Below are 21,027 nucleotides of genomic sequence, written 5' to 3'. Positions count from 1 at the left end.
ATCTCTGAGTCACTTTCTAGCTCCCTGACCCTGTTTTATTTTTCTTTTTAGCACTGGGTCAGTTTGGGTCTCCCAAAAAGCAGATGCCAAGATGGATTTAGATGTGCAAGAGGTTTACAAGGGAAAATGCTTTAGAAGGATAAAGGGGAGAGGGAGGAGAAGTGGGTGGGTAGAGCCTTCAGACAGCAATACAGGTCTGATATCTGCAAAAGAAGACAGGTAAGAGGAGGATCAGAAGGGAAGAATGGGTAGGAGGATCTCGGATTACAATGCAGCTCTGAGAAAGCCTTGGACAGGCTGGTGGGAAGCCCTGGAGCAAAGATGGCCTGTTAGAAGAGTCTCATGTTGAGCAGAAATGACCTGGCTGTAGCACCTTCTGGTCAGTACTGTCTAGGATTAGCCTGGGGAAATCCAGGCCTGTGTGAACACAGTAGGAGGTCCAAAGATGTTATAGGTAGGGGCCATCAGCCAGCTTCACTCCTCATAGCTCAACCTCCATAGTAATCACAAACACTATCATCACTTAATGTACATTACTCCTTTATATCACTGGATATCCACAGTGCCTACAACAGTGCCTTTCACAAGATTGCCGCCATTCTATAGCATTTATGAACAAATGACTAATAACAGCTAATACTTTTTGAATGTTTACTGTGCACTAGGGATTGTTAAAAGTGTGCACATTTTTACTGGACTAATTATCACAAAAAACTCTATGAGGTAGGTGTTATTTTGTCCTCACTTAGAAGTGGGAGTATAGAAAATGTAAGCAATTGAACCGAGATTTCACATCTACCAAGAAGCAAGATGATAGACATATTAATTTGCTTGGCAGTAGTAATCATTCTACTATGTACATGTATATCAAAACATCATGTTGTACATTTTAATATATACAAAAATAAAATAAAATAAAAGTTCCTTAGAATACTTAAAGAAGAACCCAGATCCCAGGTGTTTAACCTCTGCTCTGCATGCTCTGCTCCTCTAGAGAGAATAAATACATTCAAACTCAGGATATGATTGTAGGTGCAATCAAGAGAATTATTAAATAATTTAATGAGAAAAGTAAAAGAAACAGAAAAATCAAGGAGAGTGCCTCAATATCTATCTTGGCAAATAGTGGGTGTTGAAATGAAAAAGATTGGTGCTTTCTCCTATTCTTTTTAGTTTTAAGAAGAAATTGTTTCGGCCAGGTTAATTTTGGGAAATGTATTAAGCATTCACAAAGTTGTAAAGTAGATATCTGAATATCCAAGACTGAATTTCTAGGAACCTGGAAATAAAGATTTAGAAGTCATTATCATAGAGTTTATATTTTTAACTACAAGACCAGAAGAAATTATAATAGAGGAATTATAGAGATAAAGAAGTGAAGTAGTGCAGCTATTGTAGAAAACAATACGGTGTCTCCTAAAGAAACAAAAAATAGAACTCCCATATGACACAGCAATTCCACTTCTGGTTATATACCCAAAAGAAATGAAATCACAGCCTTCTAAAGATATCTGTGCCCGGCCACGCGTGGTGGCTTACGCCTAGAATCCCAGCACTTTGGAAGGCCCAGGCGGGTGGATCACCTGAAGTCAGGAGTTCGAGACCAGCCTGGCCAACATGGTGAAACCCCATCTCTACTAAAAAATACAAAAATTAGCCAGGCACGGTGGCAGGAGCGTGCAATCCCAGCTACTCAGGAGGCTGAGGCAGGAGAACTGCTCAAACCCGGGAGGTGGAGGTTGCAGCGAGCCGAGATTGCGCCATTTCATTCCAGCCTGGGAGACGGAGCAAGACTCCGTCTCAAAAAAAAAAAAAAAGAAAAAAAAAAAGGTATCTGTGCCCCATGTTCATTGCAGCATTACTCACAGTAGCCAAAGTATGGAAAAAACCTTAGTGTCTGTCCATTGGCAGATGAATAGGTAAAGAAATTGTGCTATGTACACACAATGGAATAATATTCAGTCTAAAAACATGGATAAACCTAGAGGACATTATGTAAGAGGGAATAAACCAGACTCAGAAAGAAAAACATTGCATGATCTTTTTGCATCAGAATCTAAAAAAACAAAACTGGAATACATAGAAACAGGAAGTAGAAGATGGGGAGATGAAGGTCAAATGGTACATAGTTACAGTTATGTAGAATGAATAAATTCTAGGGGTCTAATGTACAATATTAAGACTATAATTAATAATATTGTATAGCATACCGGAAATTTGCTAAGAGAGTAGATTTTAGGTATTTTCACCACACAGGCTAAAACAGTAACTATGTAAGATGATAGATATGTTAATTTGCTTGACCGTAGTAATCATTTCATATGTATATGTATGTCAAAACATCATGCTGTACATCTTAAATATATACAAAAATAAAATAAAATAAAACTTACTTAGAATACTTAAGAAGAAAAAAAAGGAGAAGAGAAGGAGGCTCAGGGCAAAGCCCTGGAGGAACCTCAAGCGCATTGCGCTGAGTGAGAAAAAGTCGATCACGAAACATACGTGCTGTATAATACCATTCATGTCACATTGTCAAAATGACAAAATTATAGAGAATAGATAGAAAGTTGACATAAATTGGCCGGGCGCGGTGGCTCACTCGTGTAATCCCAGCACTTTGGGAGGCCGAGGTGGGTGGATCACCTGACGTCACCAATTCAGGACCAGTCTGACCAATATGATGAAACCTCGTCGCTACTAAAAATACAAAAATTAGCCAGGCGTGGTGGCGTGTGTCTGTAGTCCCAGCTACTCAGGTGGCTGAGGCAGAAGAATCGCTTGAACCCAGTAGGCAGAGATTGCCGTGAGCTGAGATAGCGCCACTGCACTCCAGCCTGGGCAACAGAGCCAGACACCATCTCAAAAAAAAAAAAAAAAAAAAAAAAAAAGTTGCCAGAAATTAGTCTTGTGGGCGGAGGAATGTCACTGTAAAGTGATAACGTGAAGGAGATGAACACAGTTCTGTATTCTGATTATGGCGATGGTGGCACAAAACTATAGATGGGATAAAAGTTTTTAGAATTCTAAACAAAAAAAGAGTGTTTGTAAAAATTAGCGTCTCAAAAAACTTAAGTACAGCCCGTATTCTTATAATTGTTTGTACTGCAGCAAAGTCAATTTCTGGGTTTGGACAATGTATTCTATATGTAAGTGCTGGGTACACAGGAACTCCCTGTACCATGCTGGCAAATTTTTGTGAATCTTAAACTATTTCAAAATAAAAACTATTTAAAAATATAAAGACAGTTTGTCTGCAAAAGTGGTATCTGTACATTTATTTAGATGTCTTTTTATATTTTTAAGAAACTTTTATAATTCTCTACAGTCAAAAGAATTTAAAAAGTATAGATTTGAAATGAATTCTTTTTGCTTCTAGATTGAAATATTTTAATAAAAGAAATAGAGTGCAGGGAAGAATAACTTAAACTGCTGGAGGCCATTTAATTTATGTATTTATTTATTTATTTATTTTTGAGATGGAGTCTCACTTTGTTGCCCAGGCTGGGGTGCAGTGGAGCAATCTCGGCTCACTGCAAGCTCTGCCTCCCAGGTTCACGCCATTCTCCTGCCTCAGCCTCCCGAGTAGCTGGGACTACAGGCACCCGCCACCACGCCCAGCTACTTTTTTTATACTTTTAGTAGAGATGGGGTTTCACTGTGTTAGCCAGATGGTCTCGATCTCCTGACGTCGTGATCCGCCCACCTCGGCCCAATTTATTTATTAAACTAAACCTGATCACTCGTTATGTGGTGTGCAATATGCCAGAAGAAGGGGGATGCACAAGTAAATAAATGGTGCACAGTCCTGGTCTCAGGGAGATCCCAGTCTAGTGTGGGACACACAACAAAACTCATAGCTACAATGCAGTCTTTTACGGGTGATTTCAATTTCTCATTGTGATGATCTTATTATGGGAGATATGGAATAAGAAACAAGTACCGGCTTAAAATTCTATAAATACTTACATTTTTTAAAAAGGCAGAGACATTAACATTGTATACCTCTTCAAGGTCTGAGGACAAGATTATTTTGGCTTCCAATTTTACCAGACTTTGGCTCCTAATAATATTAAATAGTTTCCTAAGCAAGAAAAATGACTTGGGTCAATAATAATTAGGCTATCCTTCCACCACTCAGACCTCAGAAGTAAATAAACCAGTAGAAAGCCTGCCTGGTTTTGATGTACATTTAGTGAAGTTGGAATAGGCAGGAAGGGATCCCTGCTTCTGATGATAGGAGGAGAGAGAAGAATTCCAAGTGGACTGAGTCCTGACACCAAGAAAGTGCTGTTGGGGTTGGTTTGTTATTTTTACTGAGACTCAAATTAACTCCTTCAGTTTTCCCCTAAAAGAAGCTTTGTATGGACCCAGCAGAGACAAGTCCTAATTTTAAAGAGAAAACCCTGGACAATCATAGCAACCTGCCTCGGTACCAGGGACAGGGAGTTAGGAGTGACTGGATGTTCATGCCATTTCCTTTTGTTGCTCACTATTCCCAATGAATTGTCCTCTTTTCCTTTTAAAAAAGAGGCTGGAGTTTGATGAGGAATAGCATACTTACATAGGCTCAAGATATCTTCCGCAAATTATTTAGAAATTTAAAATCGTAACTTTATAATAGAGAAAGCTGGCAGACACACCTTAACCAATCATCAGAGTTAACATCATGACTATCTGGACAGACAGCATCATGTGACTGCTGATGTAAGACATTGAGAAGGACAGAATATCATTTCTGGTATTCCTGCCAAAAATGAAGAAGCTAAATCTAATCATATGGAAACATCAGACAAAACCATATTGCAGGACAGTCTACAAAATGAGCATCCTGTCCTCTTCAAAAATGTCAAGGTCAAGATGCAGAAAGGCAGAGGAAGTGTTCCAGATGAAAGGAGACTAAAGATACGTGACAACTAATTGCAATGCATGATCCTGTATTGGATTTTGGACCAGGGAAGGGGAGAAGGAATAGCTATTAAGGACATTATTGGCACATATAACAAAATTTGAAAAATGGACTATGGATTAGATAATACTACTGTATCAATGTTAGCTTTCATAATTTCGAGTATCGTATTCTAAGTATGTAAGAGAATGTCATTGTTTTTAGGGAATACACACTGAAATATTATTTATGGGCAAAGAACTATACAATGGTTCCAACTTTCAAATAATAAAAAGAAAAATTTACATACATGTATGTGTGTGTAGAAATGTTTATATAGATAGAGAATTATAATACAAATGGGGCCAAATGTTAACTGGTGAATCTGAGGAAAAAGGAAAACTTTTCTCTAAGTTTAAAATTAAATCAAAATCTAAAATTTAGAAAATATGTGCTTGGCATTGAGTGCTCAATGTGATCAGCTTCCTTGTGTTCATCAGGTTGAAGTAGGGTAGCAATTTTCCTCAGCCCCTGATGCATCTGGCTCACGTGGGATCTATTCCAACAGCATGATAACCACAATAATCAAGGTCTGCAGAGAGGCTGTAAAAGCACAGAGGACAGCTCCCAACTTAAGCTGTGGGTAACAAATGATTTCCCAGGGTTGGTGATCCTTAAGCTAAGTTAAAAGGAGGAAGAAGAGGTACCCAGGCAATGGAGGGCCTTCTGGGTGACAGCTATGTTAGCAAAGGCAGAGAGAACTTGTATCTCTTTTTGCCCCTAAGATCAGTTCTCTGCCCTTCCTTCTCTGTGTCCAGGAACCTGACCTCTTTGGCCTGCATCTCTCAGATCCCCTTGACCTCTGTCTTCCAAAGACTTGATCAATGGAAGACACCAGTAGGAGATGCAAAGGCAGGCAGGGGAGAGGCTGGGGTACTTATTCTCACTGATTTTGACAGTATCTGTGTAAAGCTATTGCTCCTGTTGCCTGGCCCCACTCCATTGTGTCAGTGCACTCCAGACTTTGTTATCAGTATTTATTCCTCTTGCCTCTTCAGTCCTGGGGTAGTAATGGCTTCTTGTTCTTGCTAGTCCCTAGGTGCCTTGCCAGCCTTTGTTGGTTTCCCTAGATATCCACTTTTCTAAGAATAATTCCTCATTATTTTCAGTTAAACCTTTTTAAGTGTGCCATGTGTTTCCCGCTAGGAATCTTTCTAAAACACAAGGTGTGGCTGAAGCTGAGGCCGTATGGAGAGATGGTGGGAGATGAGGCTAATACGGTGCAGGGACCAGACCAGAAAAGGCCAGCTTTGGCTATTATTCTGATACGCAGCAATCCAGACATTACAGAACAGATGTGCTGTGTAGAGGAGAGACCTACACAGCTCTCCTGTGTTAGATAGTCCTCAATTGTGTGACCTTGGTAAGTGACTTAATCTGCCTGAGCTGTTTCCTCATTTATGGAAAGAGATTAACCTCACAGGGTTAATGTGAGAAATAGACGGGGATATAGCAAGTTCATCTCCTTTTATAACTATATCCAGACAGTGTTTTAAAGATCAATTTCAGTACCACCTCCTTCATAAGACTTCTCTGACTGTATCAATCTCTAGTGACCTCTCCCTTTTCTAAATGTCTGCTGAGCATATACTCAATCCAGAGTTTTATATTCCATCATTTCTCATTGTTTCATATGTGTTTATGCATATTTGTTTGCTGTGATTCTCCAACTAGGTTTTAAACTGTTTCAAGCAAGAGGCAATGTCTCACAGGTCTTTTACTCTCCCAATGCTGAACATGGTGGGGACTTATTAGGACTTGTTGGTTGACAAAAGGAGAGGACTGATTTTGAGTGTCATAGCACTTAAGGGCAACATTCTTAATCCTCTTCCATTGTTTCTGACCTTTCTACCTCTACCTCTATTCTATTATTATTCTAAAACCAAAACAAATGAAAATTCTTTCATTCCTTCATTCATTCCTTCATTCATTCATTCAAGCATATCTTTTAGCACTTACTATATAAAAATCCATAGACATTTCAGATATTTTGTTAACTTTAATCATTTAGAAGAGAAGGATTTGTAATAGACATAGAGTTCCAAAATTAAGTTACAATTATGCTCCCCAAAAGGGCCGGGATGAAATGATAAAGAGGAGATGGTACTTTAGATTTGGGTATAAAAAGGTCCCCCTCTATGGCTGAGTAAATTTGCTATTTTCTTTGCTAAAGTTGTTTCACTAATGATTTTAGTTTTTTTCCTACACTGTTTGTGGTACTAGGCATTTTTATTTAACAAATTTTTCCTAAAAGAGAAATGAGAAGCTTAAAAAAAGTAGAATTAGAACTAACATTACCATAGAACTTAATAATTTTCTCACATTGTCTCATTAATGCTCAGGGCACCCGGGAGGTCACTAAATATGATGATTATCACTTTCAGACAAATTAAAATACCAAGGAACAGAGAGGTTAACTGAATTCCCTATTCCCTACACATGAAGTTATTGTTGAAGCTTGTAAATGGAACTCATTCTAAGATTCAGCCTGATTTTCATAGCTTCTTAGGCCCCTCTAGATGCTTTCTCTAGCAAAGAAAACAAAAAAAGAAGAAATCCTAGGCCAGGGGGATCTAGAGTTGGTGTTTCTCAGTCTGGAGGATGTCTACCTCTTCCTCATGCTCACAAAATGACCCAACACATCCCTGGCCTGGGCATGGTCAGAGGTGGGACTGGTCAGTAGCATGGGCCTGGTGTCAGGCCAGCACAGTTCTTGCAGGTCTATGCTTTTGTATTCTCCTTTCTAGGTATCCTCAGAAAGTGAGGTTTCCTTCTGGTCCTAGAGCGTCGGCTCCAGGGATGAAGTAGGAGGGAAGTTTCTGAGCCTTTTTTTTCTTAATGTCTGTGCTGAGAATGGGACAGCTGTCCATCATAATCAACAGCACAGGAGAAATGACTCCCAACTTGCCTCTGTGCATTTACTCCCCCATATTTATCAGTGACAAAACGCCCAAGTCCAATGCCCATTATTGACCCAGTGCCTCCAGGGATCTGATGGATTTTGTCCATGAGAAAGGGAAGCAGGCGGTATCTATATTTGCATTCCTAAAATGAGTCAGGCCTGGGCTTAGCTGTAGAGTGCAGGACCAGTCTAAGGAGAACAGTCACCCCTCAACACCTGTAGGCTGCTGTTGGGGTGGGCGGATATGGGACAGTGGAAGTAAATAGGCCAATGTTTTTCAGTTTTTTTTAGAGATGGCATCTCGCTATGTTGCCCAGGCTGGACTCAAACTCCTAGCTTCTAGCAATCCTCTCACCACAGCCTCTTGAGTAGCTGGGACTACAGGCATGAGCCACTGTGCCTAGCTCCAACATTTTCAAAGAACCAGAAATGTATATTTCTGGGGGAAGATGATTTACAAAACTGCTAAATGTTGTTAAAAACATAATGTAAAGCAAATATCCTATGAGAACCCAGTTTATGGCCCCCCCTTTGATAAGCAGATTTCCCTCCTTATTTGCCATTGCATGGGATTTGGTGGCAGACTTGAAGCGTAAATGATCCAGGTGGAGAGAAAGTAGAGATTCCAGATACTACTATTAGGACTGTTTCTTTCCTGCAAGTGGCTCTAGCTAGAAGATAGAAGGGAGATGATATGGATGTTCTGATGTAGATTAGAACTTAAAAGGAGGAGGTAGAACAAGAAAGTGCTGATGAAGCAGCATTTTTCTTTACTCTTTTAAGACAAGCAATTTCTAAATTAGTGAATGAGCTAAACTTGTACGTTGTCCAGCCATGGGCTGGGAGAAGCTTAAAGTCGTGCTCTGTTGTGGGATTGATATTTTGCAGAGTAGGGAAAAGCTGACTTACTTCGCAAAGATGATCAATCTCATAGAAAGATACAAAGGGACCCTGAGAGGTCATTGATTCAATTCAAAAAGTTTTTATTGAGCGCCAGTATTAATCATCCCACTAAAGGTCTATCTCCAAATACAGTCACACTAGGCGTTAGGGTTTCAATATATGAATTCTGTGGAAGCACAATTCAGCCCATAAGCGGTATTATTAGAATTTTAATTTATAAATTTCAATCAAAACCATTGTATATAAATAGGAAAATAATTCCTGTAACAAGATTCATTTCTATAAATGTAATTTGTTTCTATTTCTCCCTTATATGGTAATTTAGTCAATTTCCTAGAATCCTTTTGTTAGTAAATTTTATATATAGATATAAATATGCACTGTGTACATCTATCTATAGCTGTCTGTTTATACCTATATATAAAATACATCTATATATGATATATAGATATATAGAGCAATACACATATATAATGTATCTATCTAAACTTATCTATGTATCCATAACACATCTATATTCATATGGATGCAACATATCTTTATATGTATATACAATGTATATATATATAGATTGATAGCTAATATAGATAACTCTATAGTATGTACTTATATACTGAAACCTCAAGTTGCTTCTATGATTCATCAAATGAAAGACAAAAATGTCCCATCCCCAAATTACCAAAGTATAGTTGTTTTCTTGGACTTACCCTCTACTCTAGCCAAACTTACTTTCTTGTCATTTGCATTCATTTGTTTTTCACTCGGCAGACTAAACATGCCCTCCATCCAACTTTCCACTAATCTTCATCCTCACTTTTCTCCTAAAGTCTAATTAAAAGGTACTTTGTGTAAGGAAAGGACAGAAGGAAGGAGATAAGGAAGGCAGGGTCAGTTTTTCTACTATGCCTCCTTCCCCTAGAAATGTCTCCCTTCAATTCAGGAGTTTGTGGGCACCACTAATTGGCATTTCTTAGATTTGTACAATTTGTGTGTTCTTAAATACTTATTTGTACTTCCTCAAAACACAGGGACTAAGACTGAAGCTAGAAGATACCAAAAAATTCATCAACTGAGTTGGAAAAACATTAGTCAGACTCTTGGCTGAATCCCCTGTCTACAAGATAGAATGACTTCTGCTTCTTCCACCTTGTTTGGATTTGCCTACAACACAGCACATTATGACAACCTATGTTCATTAGGCTGTCTCCAAGAATGTTGACACAGGTTACATCTATTCCATGGAAAACTAACTGGCTTAAAGTAAAATTTTAGGTTAATAAAATTATCTACAGAATGATCTGAATTTGTAACCTTATTGAATTACTATAAGGAATGACCATCTGATTATTTGGGTGGAGGGGAACACAGAAAGAATTGTTTTTATGTCACAATACTTGCATTGTATGTGTGTTTGTGTGTACATATGTCCTATACATTTCATGTATCAAATATATATTTATATGTTATACTTATATATTATATATATATATACATGTGTATTTATATATGCACATATACATATATATTTATAGGTATTTGTATTTTCTCTTTCTATATGAGGAAATATGTATATAATGAGATTTTATATTGGTCTAGTATAATGAACTCGAATTTCTTCTGTACAGAATATGTTTTATCATCAGTATATCTTAAGTGGCATTACTACAGAGGATTTATTCACATAAATGTACACACGCAGAGTAAAACCTTGTATATGAATATACGGATAGCACACAAATCAGAAAAGGAAGACCATAGTTCAAATTTGCAGGACTTTTCCACACTCAAATTTTACATTGCAATCAATTGTCACTGTTATTTCTTTTTTATATATATAATCAACCAAGGAAAGGCTGGCTGCTTACTTTGTACCTCCAAAATTGTGTTCTGCTGCTGAGTGTGCAGTTTTGTTGAGGATGTTTGTATCATCTTCTGTAAAACCAAACCAAGCAGATCCTTTCAATGAAGAGAAAACAATAGGGCAAAATTACATTCGGATTGGCCCCTGCCACCAATCACCTGGGACCAGCTAGCAAGAAGGAAGAACAAGATCTTCTAGCTTTAAAGATATTTCTGTTGAAACCTGTTTGAAGCAATGTTTAATTCGAGTGTCTTATGAAAAACATGTTTCAAATAGATGCTCCACAAGAAAGGATTCTGTGGACAAGCAAGTTTGGAAACCCTGACTACTATGTCTTACTTTAGGAGATTCTTAATGTGCCTTAACCTATTACAGGCACTGCAAAACCCCAAAGAAAAGCAATCTTTTTAACTTTGTTTAAAGCAATATTTCTAAATATAAGTGGACATTAAAATTGTTTTCTCATATCATTCCTTTGGGAAATGTTGGTGTAGAACATTTTAGTTTGGTCTTGGAATAAGCAAACTGATGCAACTTTTCAATGGCAGGGAGATACAGAAGACACTTTCCTTTTCATGGTTAATTAATATAAAAGAAACCTAAAAGCTTTTCAAAAATTTCTAAGGAAAGCAATTATGACAAAAAGCCCACACTATACCCCAAAAGACAGAAAATACATAGTACAATGCCAAATGTCTAGTATAGCCTTACTTTTTCCCCACTGTTATTAAGCTGCCTTCCAGCTGATTCCAGCCCCATGCTATACAGACTTACCTAGTAGGATCGCTGCAGGCTATTTCATATGAATTTACTGGGGTAAGATACTGGAGAGGCTCCACTGTATACATTTACACACAAAGATTATGCACTGATGAGAAATACATGCTGTTCTATATTTAAGTAATGACCCTCTGAGAGCTCTTATTTTGTGTCTTTTGAGGTGGTGCCTCCTGCTAATACATCTTAGAGATGATATTTTACTGTGAGAATGGTGTGTGTTTGCGTATGTGTAAATCTCTAATAGTAATACCATTTGAGAAACAGAAGAAAAGCTACTGCATCAGACCATTGGTTCTTCCAATGCTGTATTTTATCTGTGCTTTGTTGTACCAAGAAAGGGTGGGATGAGCATTTGTCGCATCCTTTGCTTTCTTCTAGGTAGTATGTTTTCTTGGCTTTACTGTCATCTTGAGCCTTGTTTTGGAGGGCAGAAGAATGCTTAGGTCATGTTTAGTTTTTATAGCCTCATTTAGTGGAAATGGTTCCTTTGGGCCCAGTCTATGCCCATTGCCTAAATTTAAAGTTCCTCTTCTTGCAGGTGGCTTAATTTATATTTGTTGATGGCACAAGGAATGCAAATAACCACACAGGTGACCTTTAGGAGGCTGTGAGAGCCAAAGCAGTTGTATGAGTGACTTGAATTCAGAAAGAGATTTTGATCTATTTTTAGCATTTCTACAAATATCTTTTTCTTGAGGAAAAAAAAGTGTTTAATTACCCAGTAGGCATTTTGGAAGCATATAGAGAGCTATTCTGAGGTAAATGATCATATATTCCAATACTATAACACTAGATGAGTGATAAGGTAAAAGGAAACCTGAGCAGAATTATAGAACCATTAGAATGGATCAGACTTTGTGGGGATTAACTGTTCAACCCATTTTATCATAATGCTTTCTATCCTGGCAGGTCTAGACCTATACCTCAAGTGAGAACATAATTGAGGGTGAATCATGACCTAATATGAAGTGATATATGACAGAAATAAATTGTTTTTTCATGATCTGAGAGCTCTTTTCAGAGATTCTGTCCAAGAATCTGTCCAAAACGATGCTTTGGCTGCTGCTAATAATGAAATTAGGTAAATGAAATACCTGAACTTTACCACCTATAAGTTTCTAAGATAACTGCTAGGTGGTCAAATGATTTTCTTCTTCAAGAAAAGGTGGGGCCAGGCACAGTGGTTCACACCTGTAACCCCAGTACTTTGGCAGACTGAGGCAGAATGACTGTTTGAGCCCAGGAGTTTGAAGCCAGCCTGGACAACATGGCAAGACCTTGCCTCTATAAAAAATTAAAGAAACAAATATTAGCCAGGTGTGGTGGCCCTCACCTGTGGTCCCAGCTACTGAGGAGGCTGAGGCAAGAGGATTGCTTAAGCCCAGGAGTTGGAGGTTGCAGTCAGCTATGATTGTGCCACTGTGCTCCAGCCTGGGCAACAGAGTGAGACCCTGTCTCAAAAAAAAAAAAAAAAAAAAAAAAAAAAAAAAAAAAGGTATTTATAGACTTGCTAAAATGAAAGAGATTTTCTATTTAGAAACAAAGTAGAAGTTTCAGAACTTTTAAGTTATTTACTCAATTTGATCAATAGAATGAATTCCATAAATCTACATAGTTGAAATGAATTAAACATTTCAAATATAAACATCTCTAATTTAAAAATTGATTTTGGAAATAAGAATAAAGACCCCTCTGCATTGTCGGGGGTGGGTGAAAGTGGGAAGGTAAAGATGAATAAAACCTGCCACGTATGTTTCACACTATCAAAATCTGTGTGGTTTATTGCCTATTCATCCCTCCTCTCCCCACATGGAGGTTACTCCCTAACCCACCTCTAATTCCTATTTACTGTTGGAATGTCATTGTTGAGCTTAAGTAAGAATTTCAGCCCCACACGTTGGAGTCCAGTATTATCACTGGAGGCACTCTTACTGCTGGCACTCCTCAAGACTGACCTTCCAACTATGCCACTGTACCTGATTCTTTGTGTCAGGAACCCACCTTTATTTCAGTCTCAAGAACTGGCTTCTTTGGGCTTTTCAGCAAATTAGAGACTAAAATCTGATATCTGAAGTTCACTCTAGTTGCCTTAATTTGAACTAGGCTCCTGACATCCGCATGCTTGGGGCACCAGTCATCTGAATGTGGCTTCCCCCATATTCTTTACTTGAAAGGTGATTCAATTAATTTAACCATGTCCAGCTGTATTCTGTGACATAACAGGTATCTCATTCATAATTTTTTGAAAAGCTATAATATCCTAGTGTTCTTAAAAGATAAAGTAAACTCTTCATTAGAAAGTTGCCAAATTAATGGGAACTTGACAATCTTTGCTGATTTATTAGGATCGTTTATCTTTATTTAAAGAATTTTAGTATGCTTCAGTATGTATGGGAAGTAGGGGCATTTAAAGTGCTTAAAGTTAATAAAGAATGAACACAGTTTCATCTGGTTTCCCTTGGTGACTCCTTTGGTGGAAAACAAAAAAGTGAACACTACTATGTAAGGAGCAAAGATAAAACCTCATATGATGATACTTATAAGAAACAGATTTAGGCTGGGCATGCTGGCTCATTCCTGTAATCTCAGCACCTTGGGAGGCCAAGGTGGGCAGATCACCTGAGGTCGGGAGTTCAAGACCAGGCTGACCAACAGGCAGAAACCTCATCTCTACTAAAAATACAAAATTAGCCGGGCATGGCACCTGACTGTAATCCCAGCTACTTGGGAGGCTGAGGCAGGAGAATCACTTGAACCCGGGAGGTGGAGGTTGCAGTGAGCCAAGATCGTGCCATTGCTTTCCAGCCTGGGCAGCAAGAGCGAAACTCTGTCTGAAAAAAAAAAGAAAAAGAAACAGCTTTAAAACTTATGAGATTAGAAAGTATACACTATGTTAGACCAAAAATATGAACACTGAAACTTGACTGGGACTACCAAAAGTCCTCACCTGTGTGATAAAGTAGGAAGAGGAAATAAAAGACATACAGATTGGAAAAGAAGACATAAAACTACTTGCAGACAACATGACTGTCTATGTTGAAAATACCAAGAAATCTATTTAAAAAAATCTAGAACTTATAAGTGAGCCTAGCAACGTTGCAGCATAGAAAGTTAACATGAAAAAATTAATCTTATTTCTATATAGTAGCAATGAACAACTGGAAACTGAAATTGAAAATAGTAAAATTTACAATACTACTGAAAAATGAAGTATTCACATATAAATCTAAGGAAACACATAAGAGATCAATAAGCTGAAAACTATAAAAAGTTGATAAAATAAATAAAAGAAAACGTAAATAAATAAATGGAGATATATACTATGTTCATGGGTTGGAAGAGTCAATATAGTAAAGATATTAATTCCCCCCAATGATGTATAAGTTCAACATAATTCCTGTCAAAAATACAAGGATAATTCTTTGTTGATATAGACAACATGGTTCTAAATTATATGTAAAGGAAAGGAAGTAGAATAGCCAAAAGAATTTCAAAAAAGAATAAAGTTGGAAGAATTGCACCTCTCAATTTTTAGACTTACTATATAGCTCCAGTAATCAAGACAGTGGAGTATTGACAAAGGGGTAGATATGTTGATCAATGTAAGAAAATTTAAAAATCCAGAAATAGACCCATACAAATAGGGCCAATTGACAAAGATGCTAATCAATTTTATGGAGAAAGAATATTTTCAACAAATGGCATTAGAACAAGTGAACATTTATGGGCAAAAAATAAGCCTAAACCTAAATCTCATACTTTATACAGAAATTAACTCAAAATGGACCATAGGTCTAAATGTAAGATGTAAAACCAAAAAAAAACTTCTAAAAGAAAACATATGAAAAAGTCTTGGTAACTTAGGATTCAGCAAAGAGTTCTTATTGATGGTATCAAAAACACAAGTCAAAAAATAAAAGAAAGATAAATTGAACTTAAGCAAAATTTAAAACTTTTGCCTTGCAGAAAAACAATATTAAGAAAAAAGACAAGCTAGACTGGGAGAAAATATTTGCAAATCACATATCCAACAAAAGACTTGTTTCCAGAATATATAAAGAATAGCCAGAACTGAATAATACACACACACACACACACACAAACTCCCTGTTAAAAATTGGCAGGGCATGGTGGCTTACGCCTGTAATCCCAGCACTTTGGGAGTCAGAGGTAGAAGGATCACTTGAACCCAGAGGTTTGAGACCAGCTTCAGCAACATGGCAAAACCTTGTCTCAACTAAAAAAAAAAAAAAAAAAAAAAAAAAAAAAAAAAAAAAAAAAAAAAAGCTGGGTGTGTGGCATGTTCCTACCTGGGAAGTCGAAGCCGCAGTGAAACTTCATCTGGGTGATGAGAGTGAGATCCTGTCTCAAAAACAAAAAGGAGGTGTGTGGAGGCAAAGACTTGGATACTTCACCAAAAAGAATATAGAAGGAGAATAAACATATGAAAGCATGGTTAACATCATTAGCCATTAGGGAAGTGCAGAAACCACCATGAGATACCCTTACATATCTACTGAAATTCCTAAAATAAAAATTGTTAATACACTGTGCTGGTGAGGATGTGGAGTAACTAGAATTCTTATACATTGATATTGAAAAGGTATAGCCACTCTGGAAAAAAGCTTGGCAGTTTCTTACAAAGTTAGGCATATGTTATTCATTCCAGCAATCCCACTCCTGCATATTTACCCTAGAGAAATGAAACCTTGTGCACCCAAAGACCCGTACACGAACATTTATAGCAACTTTAGTCATAACTGCAAAAGACAGGAAACAACCTAAATGTCCTTCTACAAGTGAATGGATTAAAAAACTGTAGTACATCCATACAATGCAATACTACTCAGCAAGAAAAAGGAACAAACTGTATCAATAATGCAAAAACTTGGAAGAATCTCAGAGGCATCATGCTGAGTGAAAGAAGCCCATCTCACAAAATCGTATATACTGTATAATTTCATTTTTATGACATTCTTGAAAAAATGAAGCTATAATGACAAGGACCAGATCAGTGACTCTTTGGCAATTCAGGTAGGTAGAGAGAGGGTGTGGTTACAAAATGATTACATATGGGGGCTTTTGGGAGTAATGGAACTGTTCTGTAGGAAAATAGATAAACCTCTCTCCTGAAAATGAATTGTGAGTACAGGAACGCATCCAGACAGAGAACACAGAAACATTTATTTTTTATTTTAAAATAATTATAGACCCAAAATTAGTTGCAAAAATAGTACAGACTAGTCCCATGTGTCCATCACTCAGCTTTCCCCCTGGTAACAGCTGACATAACTACAGTAGATTATTAAAACCAGGAAATTGACATTGGCACAGCAGGTTAGCCTACAGAAGGAAAGCTATAAGACACACGTTTGAAGATTGGCAGAGTGCAGTCATATAAAGAATTAAAGGAAACTTTTAAGGAATTAAAGGGGAACTTTGGTGTCTTGTATCCTGATTTTATTGGTGATTACACAAATCTATGTATGTGTTAAAATTCATAGAACTGTACCAAAAAAGGGTCATTTTTACTGTATGTTAATACATTTAAAAATAAAAAGTGAAAAAGCCATAGCGCTGAAATTTCATGCTAAAAGGAATATGTGCATATTTGATATTTAATGTATCTTTACGAGAAAATCTCTTTTAATGGAGGGATAGCCTTCTAACTCCTATTGAAGATGTGAAATTGAGCAATTGCTTTAGACTTGTGAATATAAGGTGATTGCTTACTACATGTATGTATTTTTTTGGAATATCTAAGAAAATTTTGGGTTTACCATACATATATGCATATGTTTAATCTCTTAGATGTATAGAAGTTATTTATTCCTTGCAAATGTTTTATTTGTTAATTCAGATAAAAATAAGTGAATTATTTAAAAATAAATCTAGAATAAATAAAATTATAAATCTTTTCAAATGCTTAAAGGTATTCAATAAGTCTGTAAAAGGGAATAAACATTTTTGAAATGCTCCTTTGAAGTTATTGATCAAATCTGCAGATTTAAAAATAACATAATATGTATAGCTGATCTTAAAAGGGCATGAAAAAACTGACATTTGGCCGAGTGCGGTGGCTCACGCCTGTAATCCCTGCACTTTGGGAGGTCGAGGCGTGCGGATCGCTCGAGGCCAGGAGTTTGAGACCAGCCTGGCCAACATTGTGAAACCCCATATCTACTAAAAATACAAAAATCAGCCAGGCATGGTGGCACATGCTTGTAATCTCAGTTACTTGGGAGGCTGAGGCAGGAGAATTGCTTGAACCCGGGAGACGGAGGTTGCAGTGAACCAAGATCACACCACTGCACTCCTGCCTGGGTGACAGAGTGAGACTCCGTTTCAAAACAAACAAACAAGAAAAAAACAAAAAAACCCTGACATTTTATATGTGTAATTTTAATATATTGAATATCACTTGTAATGCTCAAAATGAACTTTCTGGTGAAAAATAGGCTTGAGTGATTAGGGAAGGTCAATGGCGGTAGAATCTAGGACCAAAAGCAAACACACATGTAAGACTAAAAGGGGCCACTTAGGAAAAATCAATAATGTAGTTTAATAAATGAGAAACTGAAAAATATTATTTAAATTCTCTCTTTAAATTAAGAAGCTTGACTACAAAATTCTATTACATAAGTAAGATAAAATATAAAAACAATCTTGGTTTCTAAATTAAAGCAAAGTAAAAGAATATCCAAGGTGGAAGAGAAGAGGGTCAAAGTATTACCAGAAAAACAGAGAGCTGAGAGACTTGGGGGGACAGCCCCAGAGAGTTTCTCATAGGAGACACAGTCACAGAGTGATATATGGAGGAAAAAAGTTCATTAAGTATTTCACAGCCTGTGATTTCTTAGGATATTGCTACTATTTAAAGTAATTCTCTCCCCTATCCCCCACCAGCAAGGATAAAGCAAAGTAAACAATTTTTGTAGTTTTTGCTCCTTAAGCCAGATAAAAATAAATTCCAAACTTGGATATTTTAATAAGATATGGTATATTAAGAAGAACATCTGACTAGGAATTAGAAAATACAGGTTCAAGTCTTAGCTTCTCCTGAGAAAGTACACTCATCTTCTCTGATCCACAATTTTCTCATATTTAAATGGGAATAATAATCACTGCTTTACCTGTGTTACAGAATTTTTATGAAGATCAAAGAGATAATACATGTGAATTTTGAAAATTGTAAATTACTGTATACATAAGGTATTATTATCATATTTAACAGATGCAAATGAAGAACTCCAAAGAAGTATTAATTCTATTTGAATACATTTCATCGTGAGAAAGACAACTTTACGTGAACATGCAAAGTATTTGTGCTTTTGGTTACCTCCTTCTTAGACATCACAAAGCGATCTCTTTCTTATGCTTGTGCTTAAATCTGTTTCTCCTCCTGTCCCCTCATGCTCTACCATCCAGCTCCCAAAAGCCCCTCTCCAAAAGCAGTTAAAACTTCAAAATAGAAGATAACTCCTGTAATAAGTAAAAAAATCTCCCCTCCCCAATACCTCACCCCAACAGTAATTCTGAGTTGCATGATTATTTTGAGAGTGCAGCAACGTTTTTACTCACATGTAATTATGAGCTGTAGGTGAAATTAACTTTTAGTATGAATACATCTGATTTTTACTTTTTTTGTTTAGAAATAATTGCAGACAAAAGAATTTGCAAAACAGTGCAGGGAGAGCCCATGTATCCATCACCCAGCTTCCCCTCAATGGTAACATCTTACACAATTATGGTAGCTTATCAAAACCAAGAAACTGACATTGGCACAATTAATCATACTACAGAAGGAGAGCTGAAGACATCAGTTTGAAGAGTGACCGGGAATCAAAGGAAACCTTTAGAAAAAGAAAGATATAAAACCCAAGGTGGTGGTTTCCAGAGTGTCCTGATCAAGTTGAAGGCATGGGAATATGGTTTATTACAAGAGAGAAGACAGAGTTCACAGGCCACATATGTAAAGAAGGTGGCCAAGATGGGGTCCAGAGAAGTGTTTCCATCAGTTTCCCAGTAACTAAGGATGATATGAGGACCATCCTTAGGTTTACACTAGAAGTTTTAATGACAAGAAAAGAGGAAAGAAGAATGGTTAAAATGTTTGCAGTATTTGGGAGTTTGTCTACTGGAAATGAATCATACTGAGATTTTTCTACGCATAATTTGTCTTACTTTTGTACAGTTTGTACTTTCACCCTGTGTAGCCAGCTAGCTGAAGTATCTCTGGAATGCTGGGCAACTTGCACCAGGAGTAGACACCATGCGTGGGGAGGGTGGCATTGCAGAGAAAGAAGATATATCAGGAAGCGGAAGGGAAAAATTCTAATTCTTCCAAGAACCCAGCCTTTGAAGGAGAAAACCCTAATTTTTTTGGCAGGTGGTGAAGTAAAATCCACTTTCCTGAACAGAACATTTTCTGTTTGCCAACCGCCAGAGGACTTATTTTTGTATAACCTCAATGAAGATTCTAAAAGCAGCCCAAATCAAATTCTATTCAGCAAATTAGTCACAACCAAAATTTATCAAAAGTAAAACCACTCAGTATTCCAGTAGGATAAAATAATTTTAATTTAATCTTTATTTATGTTATTCTCTTTGGTCTAGAACAAATCATTTATTTAATTAACAAATAACTTCAAAATTCTCCTGCTCTCCTACAAGTCATACAGAGAGTTGGAAAAGAGGCTAATTTATGTCTTTGATGCACTCTCTGTGATCTTTACATTTTGACCTTGTTTATATTTTCAGAAGCCATGTGTGAGATTGTGGAGTTAGTCAATATTATAATCCAATCATCAATATAATACAAACTTCTTGTTTATTAATACATGATTAAAAAATGTATATGATAAAAAGATATCGACTGTAGCCAAGTGTGTGGATGACAAGAACAATTATGGTGCAGATTCCTAATCACTATGTGAGCTGTACACTCCAGTGAAAGTCAATAGTCTGTTTAAAAGTCACGACGCATCCTTTTCTTTTCATCTCCTCTTTTTTTTTTTTATTTAAAGTCCAGCAATGGGACTTGTTAGCTTGTATTTTATAGCTGGATTTACTTTTGTAACTTTAACTCACTGAAGAAACATTTACTGTGCAACCAGCCTGACTCTGCCTCCACACCAGGCTCTGATGATACAGAAAAATATCCTGCCCACAAAGGGGCCAAGCTGACTGAATGCTACCTAAATCTGCAAATGAAAACAAAGTGTATGAGACCAGGGGTATCAATGTTTTACTCTCCTCATTTGAAGACGCATCATCAGTAAGCATGAGCTCTGAGCTGTTTTAGTGAGAGTGGCGATAACTTGTGATTTGCCTGCCTTCTCCCCCAATAAACACATTTTCAAGAGACTGTGGAGACTGGGAGTTCACTCTGTGACCAGCGACTGTGTACAGTGAGAAGGACTGATTGTACAAGAGCTGCAACTTCACCTTTGGCCCCATTAACCAACTGAGTTGCCCAAACAATTAAATTTTTGTAGGAAATATGGTTATTCTTTCCAAATATAGACAGCTGTATGCATGCATGTATGATTTACATTCCAGTGAGTTGGAAATGGCTAACCAGAGAGCTTCCAGGTGGCTGTAGGCAAAGGGGATGGTTGCTGTTTACATTCG

At 37.1% G+C, this 21,027-nt stretch overlaps 1 long non-coding RNA gene across 1 annotated transcript; it reads left to right on the top strand.

Moving 5' to 3' along the window:
* The first annotated feature begins 5,405 nt into the window (after positions 1-5,405).
* On the top strand, positions 5,406-10,027 carry LOC107985461 (uncharacterized). Its single transcript, XR_001737821.1, has 3 exons — positions 5,406-5,527; positions 6,095-6,311; positions 9,782-10,027. It is a non-coding gene; the product is annotated as an uncharacterized LOC107985461 (long non-coding RNA).
* The last annotated feature ends 11,000 nt before the right edge of the window (positions 10,028-21,027 follow it).

The sequence above is a fragment of the Homo sapiens genome, chromosome 1 (genome assembly GCF_000001405.40).
Source record: "Homo sapiens chromosome 1, GRCh38.p14 Primary Assembly".
Classification (NCBI taxonomy): domain Eukaryota; kingdom Metazoa; phylum Chordata; class Mammalia; order Primates; family Hominidae; genus Homo; species Homo sapiens.
Note: the sequence above shows the minus strand (reverse complement) of the source record. Positions and strands in the feature narration are given on the sequence as shown.